Source organism: Homo sapiens, chromosome 16 (genome assembly GCF_000001405.40).
Source record: "Homo sapiens chromosome 16, GRCh38.p14 Primary Assembly".
NCBI classification, from domain to species: Eukaryota; Metazoa; Chordata; class Mammalia; order Primates; family Hominidae; genus Homo; species Homo sapiens.
Window position 1 is genome coordinate 14,658,496 of NC_000016.10, and position 24,661 is coordinate 14,683,156.

General features: G+C 46.2%; 2 protein-coding genes across 8 annotated transcripts in view; one reads left to right on the forward strand and one right to left on the reverse strand.

The window, feature by feature from the left end:
* The window catches only part of BFAR (bifunctional apoptosis regulator), a 36,286-nt gene extending 25,545 nt beyond the window's left edge, over nt 1-10,741 (forward strand). For all 3 annotated transcript variants that reach the window (NM_016561.3, XM_005255350.3, NM_001330500.2), the window contains 3 exons: nt 3,397-3,570; nt 6,374-6,576; nt 9,140-10,741. In NM_016561.3, coding sequence (NP_057645.1) covers nt 3,397-3,570; nt 6,374-6,576; nt 9,140-9,332 — 570 coding nt within the window. In that variant the 3' untranslated portion in view covers nt 9,333-10,741. The remainder of the gene's footprint in view (nt 1-3,396; nt 3,571-6,373; nt 6,577-9,139) is intronic.
* A 3,311-nt stretch (nt 10,742-14,052) lies between these two features.
* Nucleotides 14,053-24,661, reverse strand: part of PLA2G10 (phospholipase A2 group X) — a 29,303-nt gene continuing 18,694 nt past the window's right edge. For 2 of the 5 annotated variants that reach the window (XM_047434757.1, NM_003561.3), the window contains one exon: nt 14,053-14,254. In XM_047434757.1, the coding sequence (XP_047290713.1) occupies nt 14,112-14,254 (143 nt within the window). In that variant the 3' untranslated portion in view covers nt 14,053-14,111. Of the gene's footprint in view, nt 14,255-20,149; nt 20,266-20,298; nt 20,662-24,661 lie in introns of those variants that run through there. The other 3 variants (NR_133651.1, XM_011522697.3, XM_011522695.4) reach the window with 3 other exon arrangements.

Below are 24,661 nucleotides of genomic sequence, written 5' to 3' on the forward strand. Positions count from 1 at the left end.
ATGATTTGAGGCTGCTTTTCATTAAAAGGAAAACCTCCATCCTGGCTAACACAGTGAAACCCCATCTCTACTAAAATACAAAAAAAAATTAGCTGGGCGTGGTGGTGGGCGCCTGTAGTCCCAGCTACTGGGGAGGCTGAGGCAGGAGAGTGGCGTGAACCCGGGAGACGGAGCTTGCAGTGAGCCAAGATTGTGCCACTGCACTCCAGCCTGGGTGGCAGACCGAGACTCCATCTGAAAAAAAAAAAAGGAAAACCTTAATGAGGGCTCCCTTACCCTCACTATCTGCCTAAGTAACTTCTTCTTCACTCCTGTATCACTACCATGTCCTGCTTGAAAAGTAAGGACTTTTCAAAAGACAAAATTACAATATCACCATTGTACACCCCTCCACCAATTAATAGTAATTATGATTTTTTTTTTTTTTCTGAGATGGAGTTTTGCTCTTGTCATCCAGGCTGGAGTGCAATGGCGCGATCTCAGCTCACTGCAAACTCCACCTCCCAGGTTCGAGCGATTCCCCTGCCTCAGCCTCCTGAGTAGCTGGGACTACAGGTGTGCGCCTCCATGCCAAGCTAATTTTTTGTATTTTTAGTAGGGACGGGGTTTCACCGTGTTGGCCAGGCTGATCTCAAACTGCTGACCTCAGGTGATCCACCCGCCTCAGCCTCCCAAAGTGCTGGGATTATAGGCGTGAGCCACCATGCCCAGCCTGTAGTATGCAATTTGGTTTTTTTTGTTTTTTTTTGTTTTTTGTTTTTTTTTGAAACAGAGTCTCGCTCTGCCTCCAGGATGGAGTGCAGTGGCATGATCTTGGCTCACTGCAACCTCCACCTCCCAGGTTCAAGCGATTCTCCTGCCTCAGCCTCCCAAGTAGCTGGGACTACAGGTGCCCACCACCACACCGGCTAATTTTTTTTGTATTTTTAGTCGAGACAGGGTTTCACCATGTTGGTCAGGCTGGTCTCGAACTCCTGACCTCAGGCAATCTGCCTGCATCAGCCTCCCAAAGTGCTGGGATTACAGGCGTGAGCCACCATGTCCGGCCTCTATAGTATACTTCTTTTTTTTTTGAGATGGAGTCTCACTCTGTCGCCCAGGCTGGAGTGCAGTGGCGCAATCTCCACTCACTGCAAGCTCCGCCTCCTGGGTTCACACCATTCTCCTGCCTCAGCCTCCCCAGTAGCTGGGACTACAGGCACCCGCCACCATGCCCGGCTAATTTTTTGTATTTTTAGTAGAGACGGGATTTCACCGTTTTAGCCAGGCTGGTCTCAATCTCCTGACCTCAGGTGATCTGCCTGCCTCAGCTTCCCAAAGTGCTGGGATTACAGGCTGAGCCACCACGCCCGGTCTCTATAGTATACATTTCTAAAGAGAAAGAATCTTTTTAAAAATGCAATCATCATCACACTTTTTAAAAATCTAACAGTAAGTTATTCATAGCATCAGCTAAATTGAATGTTTTAACAGTTTTTATTGAGGTAAAATTGATATACACCTACTTAAAGTGTACGATGTGATAAGTTTTCACATATGCACACCCATGAAAGCATCACACGATGAAGATGGGGAACATCTCCGTCACTCCCAGAAGTTTCCTCCTGCCCCTGTTAAGCCTTCCCTCCCAGCCCTCCCAATTCCAACAAGGATGCAGTGATCTCCACTGGACACTGGGGATTTAATTTGCATTTCTCATTTAATTCACATTCACATGCTTATTTGCCATCCTTATATCTTCTGTGGTAAACTGCTCATTTTATTTTGATGCTACTAAGAATCAAATAAATTGAATCTTTTTTCTTTTTGAGATGGAGTTTTGCCCTTGTTGCCCACGCTGGATTTCAATGGCAAGATCTTGGCTCACTGCAACCTCTGCCTCCCGGGTTCAAGTGATTGTCCTGTCTCAGCCTCCCGAGTAGCTGGGATTACAGGCACATGCCACCAAGCCTAGCTAATTTTTGTATTTTTAGTAGACAGGGTTTCATCATATTGGTCAGGCTGGTCTCGAACTCCTGACCTCAGGTGATCCTCCTGCCTTGGCCTCCCAAAGTGCTGGGATTACAGGTGTGAGCCACCGCACTCGGCCTTTTTTTTTTTTTTTTTAAAGAAACGAGGTCTTACGCCAGGCGTGGTGGCTCACACCTGTAATCCCAGCACTTTGGGAGACCGAGGCAGGTGGATCACCTGAGGTCAGGAGTTCGAGACCAGCCTGGCCAACATAGTGAAACCCAGTGTCTACTGAAAATACAAAAATTAGCCAGGCGTGGCATTACTCACTTGTAATCCCAGCTACTTGGGAGGCTGAGGCAGGAGAATTGCTTGAACCTGGGAGGTAGACGTTGCAGTGAGCCAAAAATGCACCATTGCACTCCAGCCTGGGCGACAGAGCAAGACTCTGTCTCAAAAAAATAAAAAAATTAAGAGACTGGGTCTTGCTTTGTTGCTCAGGCTGGTCTTGAACTCCTGGCCTCAAGCAATCCTCTTGCCTCCCAAAGTGTTAGGATTACAGGCGTGAGCCACCACGCTTACCCTGAATAATCTATTCAGTTACTTTTATAATAAGGAAGTAAACATTCACTGTAGTAAAACTTGATTTAAAAAACTGAAGAAAATGAAAATGGCTATGTGAATTCCATGTTAAGTATCTGCTGTAACTGTAGATTTCACTGGTTTCACTATTACACTCAGTGTAGTACTAAACATCTTGTATATAAAATCTGTATTTCAGATTATTTGCATTAAGTGGTGCCCACTTACAGACTGATTGAATTAAACAATTTTAAGACTCTTTGATACCTTTTTCAAAATAGCTTTTTAAAAAGGCTATATTCTGCAAGCAGGGTGCAAGAGTATGCTTTTCACCCCTCCCCCCAGCTAGAGCTAGAGATTGGATCTTTTTTTTTTTTTTTTTTTTTTTTTTTGAGCTGGAATCTCACTGTATTGCATAGGCTGGAGTGCAGTGGTATGATCTCGGCACACTGCAACCTCCACCTCCCAGGTTCAAGCGATTCTCCAGCCTCAGCCTCCTGAGTAGCTGGGACTACAGGGCATGAGCCACCATGCCCAGCTAATTTTTTTATTTGTAGTACAGACAGCATTTCACCATGTTGGCCAGGCTGGTCTCAAACTCCTAACCTCAAGTGATCCGTCCACCTCGGCCTTCCCAAGTGTTGGGATTTACAGGCGTGAGCCACCATGCTCCGCCAAGATCGAATCTTTATACAATGTAACCCCAAATGTGGATCACTTGGCCTCTTCTTGCCGTTCATTCATTCATGCATTGTGTGTACCATGCAAAAAGGCTGATGGCAACAAGCGAGAGATGGGAAGGAGCGTGGGTGGGTAGCTGGCCGCCATGGTTGTAATGTGGCCCTGTACTCTTCTCCTCTGCAGGCTGTGAACCCAGGCAGGTCCCTGTTCCTGCTATACGCCCTCAAGAGCTCCCCCAGGCTGAGTCTGCTCTACCTGTACCTGTTTGACTACACCGACACCTTCCTACCTTTCATCCACACCATCTGCCCTCTGCAAGAAGACAGCTCTGGGGAGGACATCGTCACCAAGCTTCTGGTAGGTCTGCACAGTGCCTGGAATAAAGTTATTCCACTGTCAAGTTATTTGCAGAGATTGCTACCCACCATGGGTGCCATGTTTCTTCAGTTTGACCCATGAACTCCTTCAGAATGTCTGGTAGGTCATTTGAGAGTAATATCCTTTGCTTTGCTTCTCTTGGGGCCAGTACTTCTGACCTGTTCATATCAAGTCACATGCATAGAGGAATCATCAAGTATCATCCACACCCATAAATAATAACACAGAATTTTGAAATCTCCAGAGATCCTTTTTTTCCCCCAAAGACCCTTGTAAACACTACAATCAAGTGCTGGCTAACTGGTTTCAGCCTTGAATATAGTCTGAAGCCTGCTAATCGGCTCCCTTGCACATTCCTCCCCTAATTACCCAGTCTCCACTTGCTGTTTACCTCACCAGACTGGCTGTGCAGAGACCCTGACCTTTAATTTTATTTATTGATTGATTGTTTGAGATTGGGTCTCATTCTTTCTCCCAGGCTGGAGTACAGTGGCACAATCACAGCTCACTGCAGCCTCGACCTCCTGGGCTCAAGCGATCTTCACACCTCAGCCTCCCAAGTAGCTGGGACTACAGGCGAGCACCACCACCCAGCTAATTGTTGCATTTTTTGCAGAGACAGGGTTTCACCATGTTGCCCAGCCTGGTCTTGAACTCCTGAATTCAAACCATCCTCCTGTAGCAGGAAGAGCTGCAGACAAAACCCCTCAGACACCGAGTTAAAGAAGGAAGGGATTTATTTGTCCGGGAGCGTCGGCAAGACTCCTGTCTCAAGAGCCGAGCTCCCCGAGTGAGCAATTCCTGTCCCTTTTAAGGGCTCACAACTCTAAGGGAGTCCACATGAGAGGGTCGTGATCAATGGAGCAAGCAGTGGGATACGTGACTGGGGGCTGCATGCGCCGGTAATCAGAACAGAAGAGAATACGACAGGGATTTTTACAGTGCTTTTCCATACAATGTCTGGAATCTATAGATAACATAACTGGTTAGGTCAGGGGTCGATCTTTAACTACCAGGCCCAGAGCGCAGCGCCGGGCTGTCTGCCTGTGGATTTCATTTCTGCCTTTTAGTTTTTACTTCTTTCTTTGGAGGCAGAAATTGGGCATAAGACAACATGAGGGGTGGTCTCCTCCCTTACTCCCACCTTGCCCTCCCAAAGTGTTGGGATTAGAGGCGTGAGCCACTGCACCTGGCACCCAGCCCTTCAATTTTAACGAGCTCCAACAGCCTCTGCCTGTTCATCAGGCTAATTTTTTTTTTTTTGAGACAGAGTCTCGCCCTGTCGCCCAGGCTGGAGTGCAGTGGCGCAATCTTGGCTCACTGCAACCTCCATCTCCCGGGTTCATGCCATTCTCCTGCCTCAGCCTCCTGAGTAGCTGGGACTACAGGCGCCCGCCACCACACCCGGCTAATTTTTTGTGTTTTTAGTAGAGATGGGGTTTCACTGTGTCAGCCAGGATGGTCTTGATCTCCTGACCTCGTAATCCGCCCTCCTCAGCCTCCCAAAGTGCTGGGATTACAGGCGTGAGCCACTGTACCTGGCCATCATCAGGCTAATTTTTTATCTGCTAATATGTGTAATTGAAAAGCTTCTCCTCCTGCCATCACAAAAAAAATTACCTTTTTTTGGAGGGAGGAGGGAGTGTTTGTAATTTTCCCAGAAACTACCATTATTCTACCATAGCCAATGTTGAATTTAGGAAATGGTTCAAGCTACCATTTGGGTAGCTTGATGGGAGAATAACTGGTTAATTTAAATTTATTTCAATGTATTCATAATTCATGCTTTTTTTTTTCTGAGCTTCCACAATTATATGACAAGCATTTCATTTCAACCTTTTTGCTAACATTTACTTAATTTGAGATTAATTACGGCCGGGTGCGGTGGTTCACTCCTATAATCCAAGCACTTTGGGAGGCAGAGGCGGGCAAATCACCTGAGGTCAGGAGTTTCAAGACCAGCCTGGCCAACATGGCAAAACCTCGTCTCTACTAAAAATACAAAAATTAGCCGGGCGTGGTGGTATACACCTTTAATCCCAGAAGCACTGTCTGTGTCTTGGATGGTAGCGAGACAAGATGGTGGATCCCCAGACTCAGGGCTTGTATACATAGGGAAGGGGCATACATGCTTCAGAAGGGATGTGCAGAACAATTGCTTAGGGTCGGGATTTATGGTAAGTACGAGAACATACTCAGGAGGCTGAGACAGGAGAATCACTTGAACCCAGGAGGTGGAGGCTGCAGTGAGCCGAGATGGCACCACTGCATTCCAGCCTGGGTAACAGATCAAGACTCCGTCTCAAAAAAAAAAAAAAAAAAAACAATTACAAGATGAGTTGATGGATGGAAATTTCATTTTAGATTGTTGGATGTGTGTGTGTGTGTGGTAATCAATGTAGAACTCACTGTGATCATCACAATTTTTTTTGAGACACAGTCTCCCTCTATCACCCAGGGTGAAGTGCAGTGGTGCGATCTCAACTCACTGCAACCTGCACATCCCGGGTTCAAGTGATTCTCTTGCCTCAGCCTCTAGAGTAGTTGGGATTACAGGCACACACCACCACGTCTGGCCAATTTTTGAATTTTTAGTAGAGATGGGGTTTCACCATGTTGGCCAGCCTGGTCTTGAACTCCTTACCTCAGGTGATCCGCCCACCTAGGCCTCCCAAAGTGGTGGGATTACAGGTGTGAGCCACCGTGCCTAGCCTGATCATCACAATATTTTGTGTAAAAGTCAGTCCTCATGACTTTTTGCGTCTGTGTGTTATTTTTTAAGGATCTTAAGGAGCCTACGTGGAAGCAGTGGAGAGAGTTCCTGGTCAAATACTCCTTCCTTCCATACCAGCTGATTGCTGAGTTTGCTTGGGACTGGTTGGAGGTCCATTACTGGACATCACGGTTTCTCATCATCAATGCTATGTTACTCTCAGTTCTGGAATTATTCTCCTTTTGGAGAATCTGGTCGAGAAGTGAACTGAAGTAAGTATGTTTTAATGGTTGTCACAACAGGGGATGGGAAAGAAATACCAAGTGAGAGAAAGATCCTCTTTTATTTCTCACACTTGAAATAAATCCTCCATCCACCCAGACCCTTCAGACTCTGCTTTGAGAAACCTAGCTTAAGCAGTGAATAGGACAATTACCTGTGTTTTGGGGGTGGGGGTTGTGGTGCTCATTGTTAAAAGTATTTTCCTATATGTCTTATCTCTATGCAATAATATACCATTTAATTTCAGGGGGAGGGGGGCAAAGGATTGTAATAATCAAGGAATAAGCAACTGAATAGAAAAGGGTCTGTTTTAAGGTAGGCAGGCCTGTGCAAACCTATCCCCTAAATCAGAGGAAGCTGAGGGGCTGAAGGAAGAAGCTGGCAAATTCAGTTTCTCAGAAAGAAACACTTAATAAGGCCTTGCCAACAGAAGCCCTGTCTGTGTCTTGGATGGTAGCGAGACAAGATGGTGGATCCCCAGACTCAGGGCTTGTATACATAGGGAAGGGGCATACATGCTTCAGAAGGGATGTGCAGAACAATTGCTTAGGGTCGGGATCTATGGTAAGTAAGAGAACATCAAGGCTGTTTCACCAAAGGGCAGGATTTACGTGATGTACGTGCTCTTACACAAGAAACATTAGATAAAACCAGAGATCTTAGAGGCTTCCCCCAAACCGGAGTTAGTGAGAAGTCAATATGGCAGATTAGCATCCAATATAGAGTTGCTTTGGCCTCCACAGGGTGCTTTATAGAAAATGCAGTAAGGTAGAGCATAAAGAGATCTCATGGGAAATTCTGTAGGCATGAGTTCTAATCCTGATCTGTAACCAACTAGGATAATAATAACTTAGGCTTCAAGCATGACTGGACCCTGAGACCCAAACGCTGTCACCAGTACTGACTCTTTCTCTGTCCCTCACAGCACTGTTCTTTCTTGTGTTTTCTGCCTCAGGCATCTCTCTTCATGTGGGGGCCCTTGTCTTCTCCACTCCAGACTTTGATCTGTGCAGCTTAACAAACCTCCAGAAAGAAAGCACTTCCTTCCCTGTGGCACTGGAAAAGGTCTCAGGGCTCACATGCCTTTGTTCTGATGGACCCAGGCTTGAGGCATGAGTTCACCCCACAACCAGAGGCTGGTTTCAGCCCTACCCAGACCACATGGAAAAGAACAAAGGAGAGAGAATCCCCAAAACTTAGAGGCTGTTGCCAGGTGCAGTGGTTCATGCCTGTAATCCTAGAACTTTGGGAGGCCAAGGCAGGTGGATCACCTGAGGTCAGGAGTTCGAGACCAGCCTGGCCAACATAGTGAAACCTCATCTCTACCAAAAATACAAAAATTAGCCAGGCGTGGCGGTGGGTGCCTGTAATCCCAGCTACTCGGGAGGCTGAGGCAGGAGGATCGCTTGAACTCAGAGAGGTGGAGGTTGCAGTGAGCTAAGATTGCACCATTGCACTCCACCCTGGGCGACAAAACGAGAGTCCATCTCAAAAAACCCCCAAAAACTTAGAAGCTATTTCCAGAAGAAAGGGACAGGCAGAAGTAACACTGCCACCCTTGCAGCCTTTTACCTTGACATTCTGACTCGCAGCCTTATGAATGGTTCTGAGAACCTAACAATCTCCCTCACCTTTCCAATGGTGACTCACTAGGTAAAAATAAAAAAAGAATCTCCCTCATTTCTTTCCATTTAGCAAACTCACTTATTTATATACAATATGCATATTTATGCCCCTACTGTACTCCTGGTTCTCTCCTGGGCATGGCAGATCTTTTGGTAAAGAAGACAGTCTATAGTGTGAGGCCCTACAGCCTAGCAAAGAAAATATGTACGTTAAAAAATAGATGGTCAGGCACCTTGGCTCATGCCTGTAATCCCAGCACTTTGGGAGGTGAGAGGATTGCTTGAGACCAGGAGTTCAAGTGCAGCCTGGGCAACGTGGCAAAACCTGTCTCTAAAAATACAAAAAATTAACTGGGCGTGGTGGTGCACACCTGTAGTCCCAGCTACTCGGGAGGTTGAGGTGGAGGATCACCTGAGCCGAGGAGTTTGAGACCAGCCTGGGTAACATAGCGAGACCTTGTCCCTACTTAAAATAATAATAATAATAATAATAATAATTAGCCAGATGTGGTGATGTGTGCCTGTGGTCCCAGCTACTCAGGAGGATCACTTGAGACCTGGAGGTCAAGGCTGCAGTTGAGCCACATTTGCACCACTGCACTCCCAGGCTGGACAAAGGAATGAGACCCTGTCTCAAAAGGAAAAAAAAATATGTAAATGTAACAAAGTGATGAAGCAGGTGAAGTTGAGGCTGTCACAGGGAGGCCTTGCCCAGTGTGGGGGCAAAGAAGCTCCCTGTAGGTCATGTCCTTGAGAGTTAAAAGATGGGTTGAGTAGGCAGAGGTCTCAGGCACCGGGGACAGAAGACAAGGACATTCAGCACGGGCAGCCATGCTCTTCCCAGCACCCAGAAAAGGCCCAGGGCCCGGACTCCTGGGTGTGGTCATGAGAAGCGCCTCCGATTCAGCCTCTTCTCTTCTTGTTTCAGGACCGTGCCTCAGAGGATGTGGAGCCATTTCTGGAAAGTATCAACGCAGGGGCTTTTTGTGGCCATGTTCTGGCCCCTCATCCCTCAGTTTGTTTGCAACTGTTTGTTTTACTGGGCCCTGTACTTTAACCCAATTATTAACATTGATCTTGTGGTCAAGGAACTCCGGCGGCTGGAAACCCAGGTGTTGTGACTGGCACTGCCCAGGCTGAGACTCTTCAAGTCCCGCTGACGTCTGAGCTTTGATGCTTAAGAGGGGTGAGGCAGGGAGCGGACTTCCTATTTTCTACCCTCAGTAAAACAAGGTGCTGCTTTGTATATCAAAAGCTCCAACCATGTCCTCTCCCCCTCAGCCTGTGGGTGGCACGAGCAAGGACTGACATCCGCACAGGGAGGATTGTCTGTTTGGCTGACACAGCAGCAGCCCTTCCCACCCAGCCACCTTCCTCACAGGGACTAGGAGGCTCAGTCCCCAACGGCTGGCAAGACTCAGGGTCCTCAGTGGACATGGTGTGGGTGACATCAGAAGGGTGCCACATCAGTCCCCTCCCCAACCTCAGTGACTGACAGAGGATCCGGATCTCAGAGCCTGAGACCAGGTTTATTGGGGCCTGGCCTGTCCTCTAAGTCAAGTTTAGGAAAACAAGGATAAGATTCTGTCATAGGCATAGAGAGTTGCACATAAAAAATACCGAAGAAAACCCAAAATTCAATCAACAATTCTGTCTTATTGAAGAGTTGCTAGGATTCAGAGTAAAACTCAAAGGATTCAGTTTGAGCCTAGAATGATGGTTAGACTTGTAGTCACTGGGCTTTTGTTTTGCTTTATGGAAATCATTGAAGGTCTGGATCCCTTTCTCTGAATGGAGAGATTGAGAGGGATGTCGGGCAGTTCCCATTAGATTTAGTGGCCTTCATGTTATTCAGAATTGTTTTGGTGATACCTCACCCCTGTAATCCCAGCACTTTGGGTGGGTGAGGCAGGCGGATCACTTGAAGCCAGGACTTCAAGACCAGCTTGGCCAACATGGTGAAACCTCATCTCTACTAAAAATACAAAAATTAGCCAAGTGTGATGGCACATACCTGTAATCCCAGCTACTTGGAATTGGAAATCGCCTGAACCCAGGAGGCGGAGGTTGCAGGGAGGGAGACTGCACCACTGCACTTCAGCCTGGGTGACAGAGGGAGACTCTGTCTTAAAAAAAAAAAAAAAATCATCTGTAAAATAAATTCCGGGATAGTCGTTTTGTTCAAGGAAATGTTTTGTAAATTGAGCTCACACTATATAATCTTTATTGTCCTATCCTGATGTATAATACAGCAGGTATAATTACACCAAGCGCTATAGTTATAAATATGGCATGAAGTGAACTATGGCCTTTTATTTCCTTCCAGTGTGAACACAGCAGGTGTGAGATGTCATCTTGGAAGACAGGCCTTGCAGAAATAGGCCTACATCCAAAATATTATCTTGTGACTCCATGAACCATTCATTAACCCTTTGTATCTTTGAGTGAAAATTTTACTCAAAAGTTGCATCTGGAAGTTCGAAGAAATTACTTGAAATAAAAATAAAGATTTCTATATAGATAAAACCTATATGTAGAGAAAAAGCAATTGTCTAGAAAACACAAAACTTCTGCATTGCCGGATAGAATCTTCTAGCCATGGGCCGAGCGTGGTGGTTCGCGCCTGTAATCCCGGCACTTTGGGAGGCCAAGGTGGATGGATCACTTGAGGTCAGGAGTTCAAGACCAGCCTGACGAACATGGTGAAACCCCGTCTCTACTGAAAATACAAAAATTAGCCAGGCACGGTGGTGCGCACCTGTAGTCCCAGCTACTTGGGAGGCTGAGGCAGGAGAATCACTTGAACCCAGGAGGCAGAAGTTGCATTGAGCCAAGATCATGCCACTGCACTCCATCTGGGTGACTGAGCAAGATTCCGTCTCAAAAAAAAAAAAGTCATCTAGTCAGTCTAGTCATGCTTAAATCCCCCAGCCTGACGCAGATACTGAGCCGAGGAGCCACCCTAAGGGAAAATGGGTTTTTTCCTGCTCGTGTTTGCACATCAAGCCCCAGGGTTGCTTGACTTTACCTATTTAATGCTTGTGACCTCCCATGGACACTCACATGGCAGTGTTTGCATATCCCTGGTCTCATGCCACCCAGGGGTTGCCAGTATCCTTTACAGGTGAATAGATGGAGGATGGCTGGCAAAACACCAAGTTGGCGCTGGCTGGCTTTGGCAGAGCTGGGCCTGGGCCATCCACCTCCACCCCATGGCCTCTCACATTGTCGCCACCTGCTCCCACACCCTGCTTCAAAGATGAGTAATACCCAGATTTGCTCAGGGACTGGGGCAAAGCCATGGCGTAGAGCAAACAGGCTGGGCAGGACCTTACTCCTTATCACCAGCAGGAGGGACGGGCACACTCAGATCAGGGGCCACAGGCTGCCTCTACCTCTTCTTACCAATCATAGCAGGATGGGTACATCTAAAGGGGGTGTCTTAAAATAGTCCAGGCTGGATGCAGTGGCTCATGCCTGTAATCCTAGCACTTTGGGAGGCCGAGGTGGGTGGATTATCTGAGGTCAGGAGTTCAAGACCACCCTGACCAACATGGTGAAACCCCATCTCTACTAAAAGTACAAAAAATTGGCAGGGCACAGTGGCTCACACCTGTAATCCCAGCATTTTGGGAGGCCAAGGCAGGGTGGATCACAAGGTCAGGAGTTCGAGACCAGCCTGGCCAACATGGTGAAACCCCATCTCTAATAAAAATACAAAAATTAGCCAGGTGTGGTGGCGTGTGCCTGTAATCCCAGCTACTTGGGAGGCTGAGGAAGGAGAATTGCTTGAACCCAGGAGGTGGAGGTTGCAGTGAGCCGATATCACACCATTGCACTCCAGCTCTGGGCGACAGGGCAGGACTCCATCTCAGGGGGAAAAAATACAAAAAATTAGCTGGGTGTGGTGGCAGTACCTGTAATCCCAACTACTCGGAAGGCTGAGGCAGGAGAATCGCTTGAACGCGGGAGGCAAAGGTTGCAGTGAGCCGAGATTGCCCCACTGCACTCCAGCCTGGGCGACACAGTGAGACTCTGTCTCCGAAAAATGCAAAATAAAAATAAAATACTCAGACCCGGCTGGGTGTGGTGGCTCGCACCTGTAATCCTAACACTTTGGGAGGCTGAAGTGGGCAGATCACTTGAGCCCAGGAGTTCGAGACCAACCTAGACAACATGTGGAAACCTCATCTCTACTAAAAATAAAAAAACTAGCCAGATGTGAGTGTACGCACCTGTAGTCCTAGCTACCTGGGAGGCTGAAGTGAGATTTGCCTGAGCCCAGGAGGTCGAGGCTGCAATGAGCTGAGGTTGCACCACTGCACTCCAGCCTAGGTGATAGCGGGAGACCCTGTCTCAAAAAATATTCAGATCCTTTGATCCAAAAATGCCATTTCTGCAAATCTGGGCTAAGGAATAGGTTATGGGGAAGGGAGTGGTGAAGATTTATTTACAAGCATCCTCATCAAGCAACTAATGGAAACAGAAAATAGCTCCAATATCCAAAAACTGTCAATCTATAAAATGGTATCTAATACAGATATTTATTTATTTATTTATTTGCGTCAAGGTCCTGTTCTGTTGCCCAGACTGGAGTACAGTGATGTAATCATAGCTCACTGCAACTTTGAACTCCTAGGCACAAGTTATCTTCCCTCTTCGGCCTCCCGAGTAGCTGGGACAACAGGTGCATGCCACCATGCCTTACTAATTTTTTTTGTTTTATACAGATAGAGTCTTGCTCTGTTGCCCAGGCTGGTCTTGAACTCATGTCCTCATGTAGTCCTCCCTCCTTAGCCTCCCAAAGTATTGAGATTATAGGCATGAGCCACCTCATCCAACCCTAACACAGACATTTTAAATGAAGTTTCCAAAGATTTTTTATGACATGGAGAAAAGTTTATAAACATCATACAGTATAATCTGAACTACCCTTTTTTTTTTTTTTTTTTTTTTTTTTTTGAGATAGAGTCTTGTTCTGTCGCCCAGGCTGGAGTGCAGTGGCACAATCTCTGCTCACTGCAACCTCCACCTCCTGGGTTCAAGTGATTGTCCTGCCTCAGCCTCCTGAGTAGCTGGGATTACAGGCGCGTGCCACCACGCCTGGCTAATTTTTGTATTTTTAGTAGAGACGGGGTTTCACCATGTTGGTCAGGCTGGTCTCGAACTCCTGACCTTGTGATTCACGTGCCTTGGCCTCGCAAAGTGCTAGGATTACAAGCGTGAGCCACAGCACCCGGCCTTGAACTACATTTTTAAAACTATAGATCCTAACAGATTATTCTGAATTGTGGGAATTGGAGTGATTTTTCTTTCTGCTCTATATTTCTCTGCACTTTCATTTTTTTAAGAAGCAACAAGTATGTACCACTTTTGTAATCATTGTGCTGGGCTTACAGAAATGAGCCAACGCTGCAGGACAGCAAATACATTTTAAGGTGTAGTGGGATAAGGGAATACTCTTTCTTAAGCTAACAGCTACTGGACTTGAACTTCACCGGGTGGGTGTTGTATGGCCATCTTGTTGATTGCTGCAGCCTAGAACATAGAACATGGCCAGGCACACGGTAGGTGTTCGTTCACATTTGACTACCAGCCATCCAAGCAGGTTAGAAGACAGGTTATCTTTTCATAAAGATGGAACCTCAAAAATGGAACCGACCCCAACACAGTGATAAACACAGTCATAGTTTTATAAAATAGGTGCAGGACTTTTGGCCTTTAACTGCAAACCACATGGGCTCCAGTCCTGAGTTCTGGGATTGGGAGGGAAAGCAAACACAAGGTTGTGGCTTTATCACTTGGCTTCGGTTCCCTTCTGCAAATAACTGAATGCTGTTGTTCATTACTGAGAGGACGCTTTATTTCCTTGTGCAAAAGAGCATTTCAAGTCAAGGTAGTCAGTCACACTTGGGCGAGTCCGGCTCACATAGGAACTGGGGGTAGAAGAGGTACTTTAAGTTGTACTCAGTTTGGGCTAAGCAGTTAGCAATCTCCTGGTCACACTTGCACAACAGTTCTTGGCATTTGTTCTCTGCCGGTCCTGGAAGAAGTGGGGAAACTGAGATTAGAGCAGGGACCTGGAGAGACTCAAGGGAAACCAGTAAAGCAAGAGGCAGGACGGGTCATAAATTACATTTCTGAGACACTTGACAGCCCACCACGTGATCTCCATCTGCAGGGCTCCCCAGGAAGCAGGTGATGTCAGCCCCATTTTACAGAAAAGGAAATTGAAAGTTTCAAATGGAGAGTCCAAAGTCTGCCATACTGCTCTTCTGCATCAATATTACACGATTTCTTTTTTCTTTTCTTTTTTTTTTTTTTTTTTTCTGAGATGGGGGCTTGCTCTGTCGCCCAGGCTGGAGTGCAGTGGTATGATCTCAGCTCACTGCAGCCTCCGCCTCCCGGGTTCAAGTGATTCTCCTGCCTCAGCATCCCAAGTAGCTGGGACTAAAGGCACAGGCCACCACACCGAGCTAATTTTTTTTGTATTTTTAGTGGAGACAGGGTTTCGTCGTGTTGGCCAGGATGGTCTCGAACTCCTGACCTCAGGTGATCCACCTACCTCGGCCTCCGAAAGTGCTGGGATTACAGGCGTGAGCCACCATGCCTGGCCTGATATTACACGACTTCATTTGGGGATTCCTTTATTTAAAAATAATAATAGTAATTATTTATTTTTTGAGATAAGGTCTGTCTCTGTCACCCAGGCTGGAGTGTAGTGGCAAGGTTGTGGCTCACTGCAGCCTCCGCCTCCTGGACTCAAGCCATTCTCCCACCTCAGCCTCCCATGTGGCTGGGACTACAGGCCCACCACCATGCCCAGCTAATTTTTGTATTTTTAGTAGAGATGGGGTTTTGCCATATTGCCAGGCTGGTCTTGAACTCCTGAGCTCAAGTGATCCACCTGCCTCAGCCTCCCAAAGTACTGGGATTACAGGCACGAGCCACCACTCTCAGCCCATAATAATATTTTTTTTAAAGAAACATACTTCTCCTCAATATACTAGGCATAGAAGGAACATACCTCAAAATAATAAAAGTGATAGATGACAAACCCATAGCCCACATCATACTGAATGGGGATGAGTTGAAAGCATTCATTCCCCCAAGAGCTGGAACAAGACAAGGATGCCCACTCTCACCACTTCTATTCAGCAAAGTATTGGAAGTCCTAGCCAGAGCAGTCAGGAAAGAGAAAGAAATAAAGGGCATCCAAATGGGAAAAGAGGAAATCAAACTACCTCTGCCAATGATACAATCATATACCTAGAAAATCCTAGAGACTCCTCCAAAAGACTCCTAGATTTGACCAATGAATTCAATAAAGTCTCAGGTTACAAACCAGTAGCACTGCTATACATCAATAAGGACTAAGCTGAGAATGAAATCAAGAACTCAGTCCCTTTTATAATAGCTGGAAAAAAAAAAAGGAAAATAGCTACCCCAAACCTAGTAATATACTTGAGCAGGAAGGTGAAAGATCTCTACAAACAGAACTACAAAACACTGCCGAAAGAAATCATAGATGACACAAACAAATGGAAATACATCCCATGCTCATGGATTGGAAGAATCAATGTAATGAAAATGACCATACTACCCAAAGCAATCTACAGATTCAATGCAATTCCTATCAAAATACCAACATCATTTTTCACATAATTAGAAGAAACAATCCTAAAATTTACATGGAACTAAAAAAGAGCCAAATAGGCTGGGCACAGTGGCTCACGCCTGTAATCCTAGCACTTTGCAAGGCCGAGGTGGGTGGAACACCTGAGGTCAGTTCGAGACCAGCCTGGCCAACATGGTAAAACCCCATTTCTACTAAAAATACAAAAATTAGCCAGGCATGATGGTGTGTGCCTATAAGCCCAGCTGATCGGGAGGCTAAGGCAGGAGAATCACTTAAACCTGGGGGGCAGAGGTTGCAGTGAGCTGAGATCATGCCCCCTGCACTCCAGCCTGGGTGACAGAGAGACTCCATCTAAAAAAAAAAAGAAAAGAAGAAAAAATCTGTAGGCATCACTACCCAGCTTCAAATTATGCTACAAGGCTATAGTAACCAAAACAGCATGGTACTAATATAAAAGTAGATACATAGACCAACAGAACAGAATAGAAAACCCAGAAATAAAGCTAAACACGTACAACTAACTGATCTTCAACAAAGCACTCAAGGCCAGGCGTAGTGGCTCATGCCTGTAATCCCAGCACTTTGGGAGGCCAAGGCAAGCGGATCACCTGAGGTTCAGTGTTTGAGACCAGCCTGACCAACATGGAGAAACCTCGTCTCTACTAAAAATACAAAATTAGCTGGGCGTAGTGGTACATGCCTGTAATCCCAGCTACTTGGTAAGCTGAGGCAGAAGGATCGCTTGAACCCGGGAGGAGGAGGTTGCAGTGAGCTGAGATTGCACCATTGCACTCCAGCCTGGGCAACAAGAGTGAAACTCCATCTCAAAAAAAAAAAAAAAACACTCAAAAACATAAATTGGGGAAATGACACCCTATTCAATAAATAGTACTGGGAAAACTGAAGAGCTGCATGTAGAAGAATGAAACTGGATCCCTATCTCTCACCATCTACAAAACTCACCATATACATCAACTCAAGATGGATTAAAGACTTAAATCTAAGACCTGAAACCATAAGAATTCTAGAAGAAAACCTTGGAAAAACTCCCCTGGACATTGACCTAGGCAAGGAATTTATGACTAAGACCCCAAAAGCAAATGCAACAAAACAAAAATAAATAAATAGGACTTAATTAAACTAAAAAGCTTCTGCATAGCAAAAGAAGTAATCATCAGAGTAAACAGACAACCCACAGAATGGGAGAAAATATTTGCAAACTACATATCTGACAAAGGACTAATATCCTGAATCTACAAAAAACTCAAATCAGCAAGAAGAAAAGAAAAAACCTCATCAAAAAGTGGGCACATGGCCAGGCACGATGGCTCACATCTGTAATCCCAGCACTTTGGGAGGCCAAGGTGGGCAGATCATGAGGTCAGGAGTTCGAGACCAGCCTAGCCAACATGGTGAAACCCCGTCTCTACTAAAAATACAAAAATTAGCCTAGTGTGGTGGCTCATGCCTGTAATCCCAGCTACTTGGGAGGCTGAGGCAGGAGAATCATTTGAACCCGGGAGGCAGAGGTTGCAGGGAGCTGAGGTTATGTCACTGCGCTCCAGCCTAGGTGACAGAGCAAGACTCAAAAAAAAAAAAAAAAAAAAGTGGGCACATGACATGAATAGACATTTCTCAAAATATATATAAATGACCAGCAAATGAAAAAATGTTTAACATAACTCGTCATCGGGGAACTGCAAATTAAAACCACAATGAGATACTACCTTACCCCAGCCAGAATGGCCATTATTGAAAAGTCAAAATAGACATTGACCTGAATGTGATGAAAAAAGAATGCTTTTAGACTGCTGGTGCTAAGATCAGTTAGCACAACCTCCATGGAAAACAGTATGGAGATTTCTCAAAGAACGAAAAGTAAATCTACTATTCTTTCTAGCCATCCCACTACTAGGTATCTACCCAAAGGAAAATAAATCATTATATCAAAAAGACGTGCGCGCATTTGTTTATCACAGCACAGTCACAATTGCAAAGATATAGAACCAACCTAAGTGCCCATCAACCAATGAGCAGATAAAGAAAATGTGGTGGCTGGGTGCAGTGGCTCACGCCTATAATGCCAGCACTTTGGTAGGCCGAGGTGGGCGGATCACGAGGTCAGGAGTTCAAGACCAGCCTCACCAATATGGTGAAACCCCATCTCTACTAAAAATACAAAAATTAGCCAGGCGTGGTGGCGCATGCCTGTAGTCCCAGCTACTTGGGAGGCTACGGCAGGAGAATCGCTTGAACCCAGGAGGTGGAGGTTGCAGGGGGCCAAGATCACGCCACTGCACTCCAACCTGGGTGACAGAACAAGACTCCTTCTCAAAAAAGAAGGAAAAGAAAATGTGGTTACATATACACCATGGAATACTACTTAGCCATAAAAAAGAACAAAATGTTTTCTGCAGCAACTTGGATGAAGCTGGATGAAGCAACTTGGATGAATTGATGTTGGTATTTTGATAGGGATTGCAAGGAAGTTACGTCACTTATTCTAACTGATGAAACTTAAGAATGGAAAACCAAATACTGTATGTTCTCACTTATAAGTGAGAGCTAAGCTATGGGGGGTACACAAAGGCATACAGAGTGGTATAACGGACACATTGGAGACTGAGGTGGGGAGGGATAAAAAGCTATGTATTGGGTACAATGTAGACTACTTGGGTGATGGGTGCACTAAAAGCTCAGATTTCACCACTATACAATTCATCCATGTAACCAAAAACCACTTGTACCCCTAAGGCTACTGAAATAAATAATAAGTAAAAATTTTCAAAAGAATATTTCTGGAATGTTTTAATTTTTCATAACAAACATGTATTGGGTTTGAATCAGAAAAAGTATGCAAATGAATGGTTGAATGAATGGTGGGATAGATGGATCCCTCATCATGCACTCCTGCTTCTTGTTACCAGGGCAAAATTCTCACAACACAAAATGTACCATTTCAAAGTGTACAAGTCAGTGACATTTAGTACATTCACAATGCTGGGCATCTATCTAGTTCTAAAACTTTTCATTTTTTTTTGAGACGGAGTTTCACTCTGTTGCCAGGCTGGAGTGCAGTGGCACGATCTCAGCTCACTGCAACCTCCGCCTCCTGGGTTCAAGCGATTCTCCTGCCTCAGCCTCCCGAGTAGCTGGGACTACAGGCGCACACCACCACGCCTAGTTAATTTTTGTGTTTTTAGTAGAGACCGGGTTTTACCATGTTGGCCAGGATGCTCTCAATCTCTTGACCTCGTGATCTGCCCGCCTTAGCCTCCTAAATTACAGGCGTGAGCCATTGCGCCCGGAGTTCTAAAACATTTTTATCACCCCAGAAGAAACCCCATTCCCCTCAAGCAGGCACTCCCCATGGATGGATGGATGGATGGATGGATGATGGATGATGGACAATGGATGGCTGGATAGATGGATGGTGGGTGGATGGATGGAAGATGGGTGGATGGATGATGGATGGATGGAAATTGGATGGATGGGTGATGGATGGATAGATGGATGGATGGATGGATGGATGGATGGATGGATGGATGGATAGATGGAAGAATGAATGGATGGATGATGGATGGATGGATAGATGGATGATAGGTGAATGGATAATGGATGAATAGATGGCGAGACAGATGAATGGATAAACATAATATGTGCGAAAATTAGTCATAGAACCAGCCAGTGCAGGAACAAGCCTTCCTGCCTGTAAGCTTTCCATGGGCTGCTGCACAACAGAAACCCTCAGAGAAATATGATGTAGTGGGGAGGGGACTCTTGAGGAAGGAGCCACTGTAGCTTCCTGGCTATAGCCCCAGGGTGGCATACAGGGCTGGCTGAAGGCCGGCTGTCCAAGGACAGAAGAGTGGTCAGCTACAGGGCGACGGGGACAAATACCCCAGCCAGCTCCTCTTCCCCTCACACCCTCACCCATCCACTGGCAACTCCTGCAGTTCCATCCAGCCAGATTTGTCCAGAAGCCAGCCCCTTCCACCATCTTCACTGCCACCCCCTGCCCAAGCCACCTCTCTCCAAGACCACTGCAACAGCCTGATAGCCACATCCAGCTTCCACCCTTTCCCTCTCCTGGGTTTGTACCATATGGCAACCAGAGTAGTTTGGTTAAAATACATATCAAGGCCGAGTGTGGTGGCTCACGCCTGTAATCCCAACATTTTGGGAGGCCGAGGTAGGTGGGTCACCCGAGGTCAGAAATTTTGAGACCAGCCTGGCCAACATGGTGAAACTCCATCTCTACTAAAAGTACATAAATTAGCAGGGCATGGTGGCACATACCTGTGATTCCAGCTACTCAGGAGGCTGAGGTGCGAGGATCGCTTGAGCCCAAAAGGCAGAGGTTGAAGTGAGCCGAGATCACACCACTGCACTCCAGCCTGGGTGACAGAGCAAGACTGTCTCAAAAAAAAAAAATGCAAATCAGGTCATGTCCCTCCCCTGCTCAAAACCCTCCTTGGCTCCCCATCTCTCTCAGAGAAGAGCCTCCAATGCCCTAGGAATCTAGCCCCTATCACTCTCCGACATCATCCCCTACTTCTGTCACTCTGGGGGACTCTGCTCCAGCCTCACCGAACTCCTTGTGATCCTCAGACCACCCAGACACTTGTGCGTACCCCAGGGCCCTTGCACTGGCTGTTGCATCACCTCCACGTGGCTGTCTCCTCTGTTCCTCAGGTCTCTGCTTCATTGGTGTCTCCGGGAGACTTTCTCTCACCCCAACCACTCTCAGTAACAGAGAAATCCTCACCATGCACTCCTGCTTTTTGTTATTGGGGCAAAATTCTCACAACCTAAAATTTACCATATTAAAATGTACAGTCAGTAGCATTTAGTACCTTCACAATGCTGGGCACCTATCTAGTACTAAAACACTGTTATCACCCCAGGCTGAGCATGGTGGCTTAGGGCTGTAATCTCAACACTTTGGGAGGCTGAGTCAGAAGGATTGCTTGAGGTCAGGAGTTCAAGACCAACCTAGGCAGCATAGCAAGACACCATCTCTACAAAAAATACAGGCCGGGCGTGGTGCTCGTGCCTGTAATCTCGGCACTTTGGGAGGCCGAGGCGGGCAGTTCACAAGGTCAGGAGTTCAAGAACAGCCTGGCCAACATAGAGAAAACCCATCTCTACTAAAAATACAAAAATTAGCCAGGTGTGGTGGCACATGCCTGTAATCCCAGCTACTAGGGAGGCTGAGGCAGGAGAATCACTTGAACTCGGGAGACGGAGGTTGCAGTGAGCCGAGATCATGCCATTGCACTCCAGCCTGGGCAACAAGAGCAAGACTCCACCTCAAAAAAAAAAAAAAATAATAATAATAATAATAATACAAAAATTAGCTCAGCATGGTGGCACGTGCCTGTAGTCCCAGCTACTTGAGAGGCTGAGGCAGGAGAATCCCTTAATCTCAGGATTTTGAGGCTGCAGTGAGTTGTGATCATGCCACTGCACCCAGCCTGGGTGACAGATCGAGATGGTCACCACAGAAGAAACCCAACTCTCTTTAAGCATTCGCTCCCCGTTCCCACTCTTCTGCATTCCCAGCAACCACTAGTCTACTTTCTATTTCTGTGGATTTGCCTATTCTGGACAATTCATATAAATGAAGTCATATGATATACGTGACCTCTTTTTTGTATTCCTAACATAGCAACAGAAAGCCTATATACATGACCTCTTATGTCTGGCTCTGTTCACTCGATGCTGTATTTCTTCTTCCTTTCTTTTTGCTTTTCTTTTTTTTTTTTTTTGAAACAGAGTCTCACTCAGTCGCCCAGGCTGGAGGGCAGTGGCATGATCTCCACTCATTGCAACCTCTCTGTCTTCCAGGTTCAAGCAATTCTCCTGCCTCAACCTCCCGAATAGCTGGGATTACAGGCACCTGCCACCACGACCGGCTAATTTCATATTTCTAGTAGAGACGGGGTTTCACCATGTTGGCGAGACTGATCTCGAACTCCTGACCTCAAGTGATTCACCAGCCTAAGCCTCTCAAAGTGCTGGGATTACAGGCGTGAGACACTGTGCCCGGCCTTTTTTGTTGAGGCAGGGTCTCACTCTGTCACCCAGGCTGGAATGCAGTGGCATGATCACGGCTCACTGCAGCCTGGACCTCCTGAGCTCAAGTGATCCTCCCACCTCAGCCTCCCGAGTAGCTGGAACTACAGGCATGCGCTACTATGCCAGGGTCTCGCTATGTTGCCCAGGCTGGTCTCAAATTTCTGGGCTCAAGTGATACTTCTGTCTTGGCCTCCCAAAGTGTTGGGATTACAGGTGGGAGCCATCGTACTCAGCCCATCATATTTTCAAAGTTCATCCATGTTGTAGCAGGTATAGTAATTCACCTGCTTTATCTCTCAACACAATAGTTACAAAGCACTTGGCGCACACACTACTTCCCTGTCTCCTCCTTTTTAACAATACCTCGTGGCTCTGCCTTGCCCAAAACCTAGCATGGAGCCCGGCAGAGTAGACTCACAGTAATATTTGTTGACAGACCAGAGAAAAGCCTTAGAAAAGCCATTCATCCTCATGCCTGTAATCCCAGCACTTTGGGAGGCTGAGGTGGGCAGATCCCTTGAGGTCAGGAGTTCAAGACCAGCCTGGCCAACATGATGAAACCCCGTCTCTACTAAAAATACAAAAAAAAATTAGCTGGGTATGGTGGTGCGCCTGTAGTCCCAGCTACTTGGGAGGCTGAGGCAGGAGAATGGCTTGAACCGGGGAGGTGGAGGTTGCAGTGAGCTGAGATAGCACCACTGCACTCCAGCCTGGGCAACAGAGTGAGACTCTATCTCAAAGAAAAGAAAAGAGAAAAGAAAAGAAAAGGGGGAGGGGGGAGAGAGAGAGAGGAGGGGAGAGGAGGGAAAAGAAAAGCAAAGCCATATACAATCTCCAATGCTCACACAACCCCAGCAACTCTGGTCTGTTATTCCCATTTTACAGATGAGGAAAGTGAGGCTTACAGGAATTCGGTAACTCATCCAAGGTCACAGAACTGGGAAGGTGTGGACCAGGATTCCAGCCCAGGGTCTCCTGACCCAACAACGCCTCTGCTTGTCCTCTTACTTTTCTCCTTGAGCAACAAAGATTCCGCCAACAGCAAGACCTGGCCCCACTGCTCCATGATCTCAGGAACCCGATGGCATCACATTTTGAAGAAGAATAAAAATTTGAAAGGAAGAATAGCTCCCGAGGCTTAAGTTTAAAATTAAGGCCTGCTAGTAAATATTATTATAGGTTTAAATTTTTTTTAATATATTTAAGTCAGGCCCATAAATGGAAAATGGGCCAAACCTGTAATTAAATAAACAACTATGTTCAGAATATCTCCAAACAGAATAAGATAATATTTTTAGTCCAAAATGCATAATAGATATTTTAGTTCCTTTCATTTGGTTCAGAGAAGACAGTTCTGTAAACAGGCACAGACTCTACCAACAGACACACCAATATTTTATAAATATCATTTTCACCTGGGTAGGAGCAAGCAGAATAGGCAAGTTGAAGGGAGAAAGGAAAGATTTTCAACAGATTTCCCACTGAAGCCTCATTTCACCTCCTCATCACCCACACCAGAAGGGGGCAGTTTTGGGAATAAGTCACTTACTCTCCCTGAGCCTCAGTTTCCCCTTTATTTTTGTCTTTTGTAGAGATGGGGTCTCTCTATGCTGCCAGGGTGGTCTTGAACTCCTGGGCTCAAGCTATCCTCCTGCCTTGGCCTCTCAAAGTGCTGGGATTATAGGTATGAGCTACCATGCCCAGCCAGTTTCCCCAACTCTAAATGAGAGGGTTGGATGAGATGATAGATACCTGGGGCATGTTCAGGCCTAAAAATTGATTATATCATCATATTAATTCAGCTTTGCTCTTATGCCAAGTTCTAATCCGTAGTAAGAATATATAGCTGAAGATCTAAAAACATACTTCAAGTAGGCCGGGCGCGGTGGCTCGTGCCTGTAATCCCAAAACTTTGGGAGGCCGAGGCGGATGGATCAGGAGTTCAAGACGAGCCTAGCCAACATGGTGAAACACTGTCTCTACTAAAAATACAAAAAAATTAGCTGGGCATGGTGGTGTGCACCTCTAGTCCCAGCTACTCAGAAGACTGAGGCATGAGAATCACTTGAACCTGGGAGGCAGTGAGTTGCAGTGAGTTGAGATCACTCCACTGTACTCCTGCCTGGGCTACAGAGTAAGACTCTGTCTCAAAAAATAAATAAAAATAAAAACATACTTCTAATAACGCTTACAATAGCCTCTTTGCCACCAGAGCAGACCAAGTCAGCAGAACCTGGAGTTTTAATCAAGAGTTGGAACAGATCTTTGATTCTCTCCAGGAGTTAGCAGGGGTCAGAGAGAAGTTCAGATAAAGATAGGAGGAGGAGATAGAAGAAAAATTCCCATCCAATCTGTTTCTCAGCTGGGCATGGTGGCTCATACCTGTAATCCCAGCACTTTGGGAGGCCGAGGTGGGCAGATCACCTGAGGTTAGGAGTTTGAGACCAGCCAGGCCAACATGGTGAAACCCCATCTCTACTAAAAATACAAAAATCAACTGGGTGTGGTGGCAGGGGCCTGTAATCCCAGCTACCTGGGAGGCTGAGGCAAGATAATCACTTCAACCCAGGAGGCAGAGTTTGCAGTGGGCAGAGATCGTGCCACTGCACTTCAGCCTGGGCGACAGAGCAAGACTCCATCTCAAAACAAAAACAAAATCTGTTTCTCATCTTACAAATCTTTTCTCATCTTCACAACACCTATCTTACAGGTAAGGAAGCTGGGGTTAAG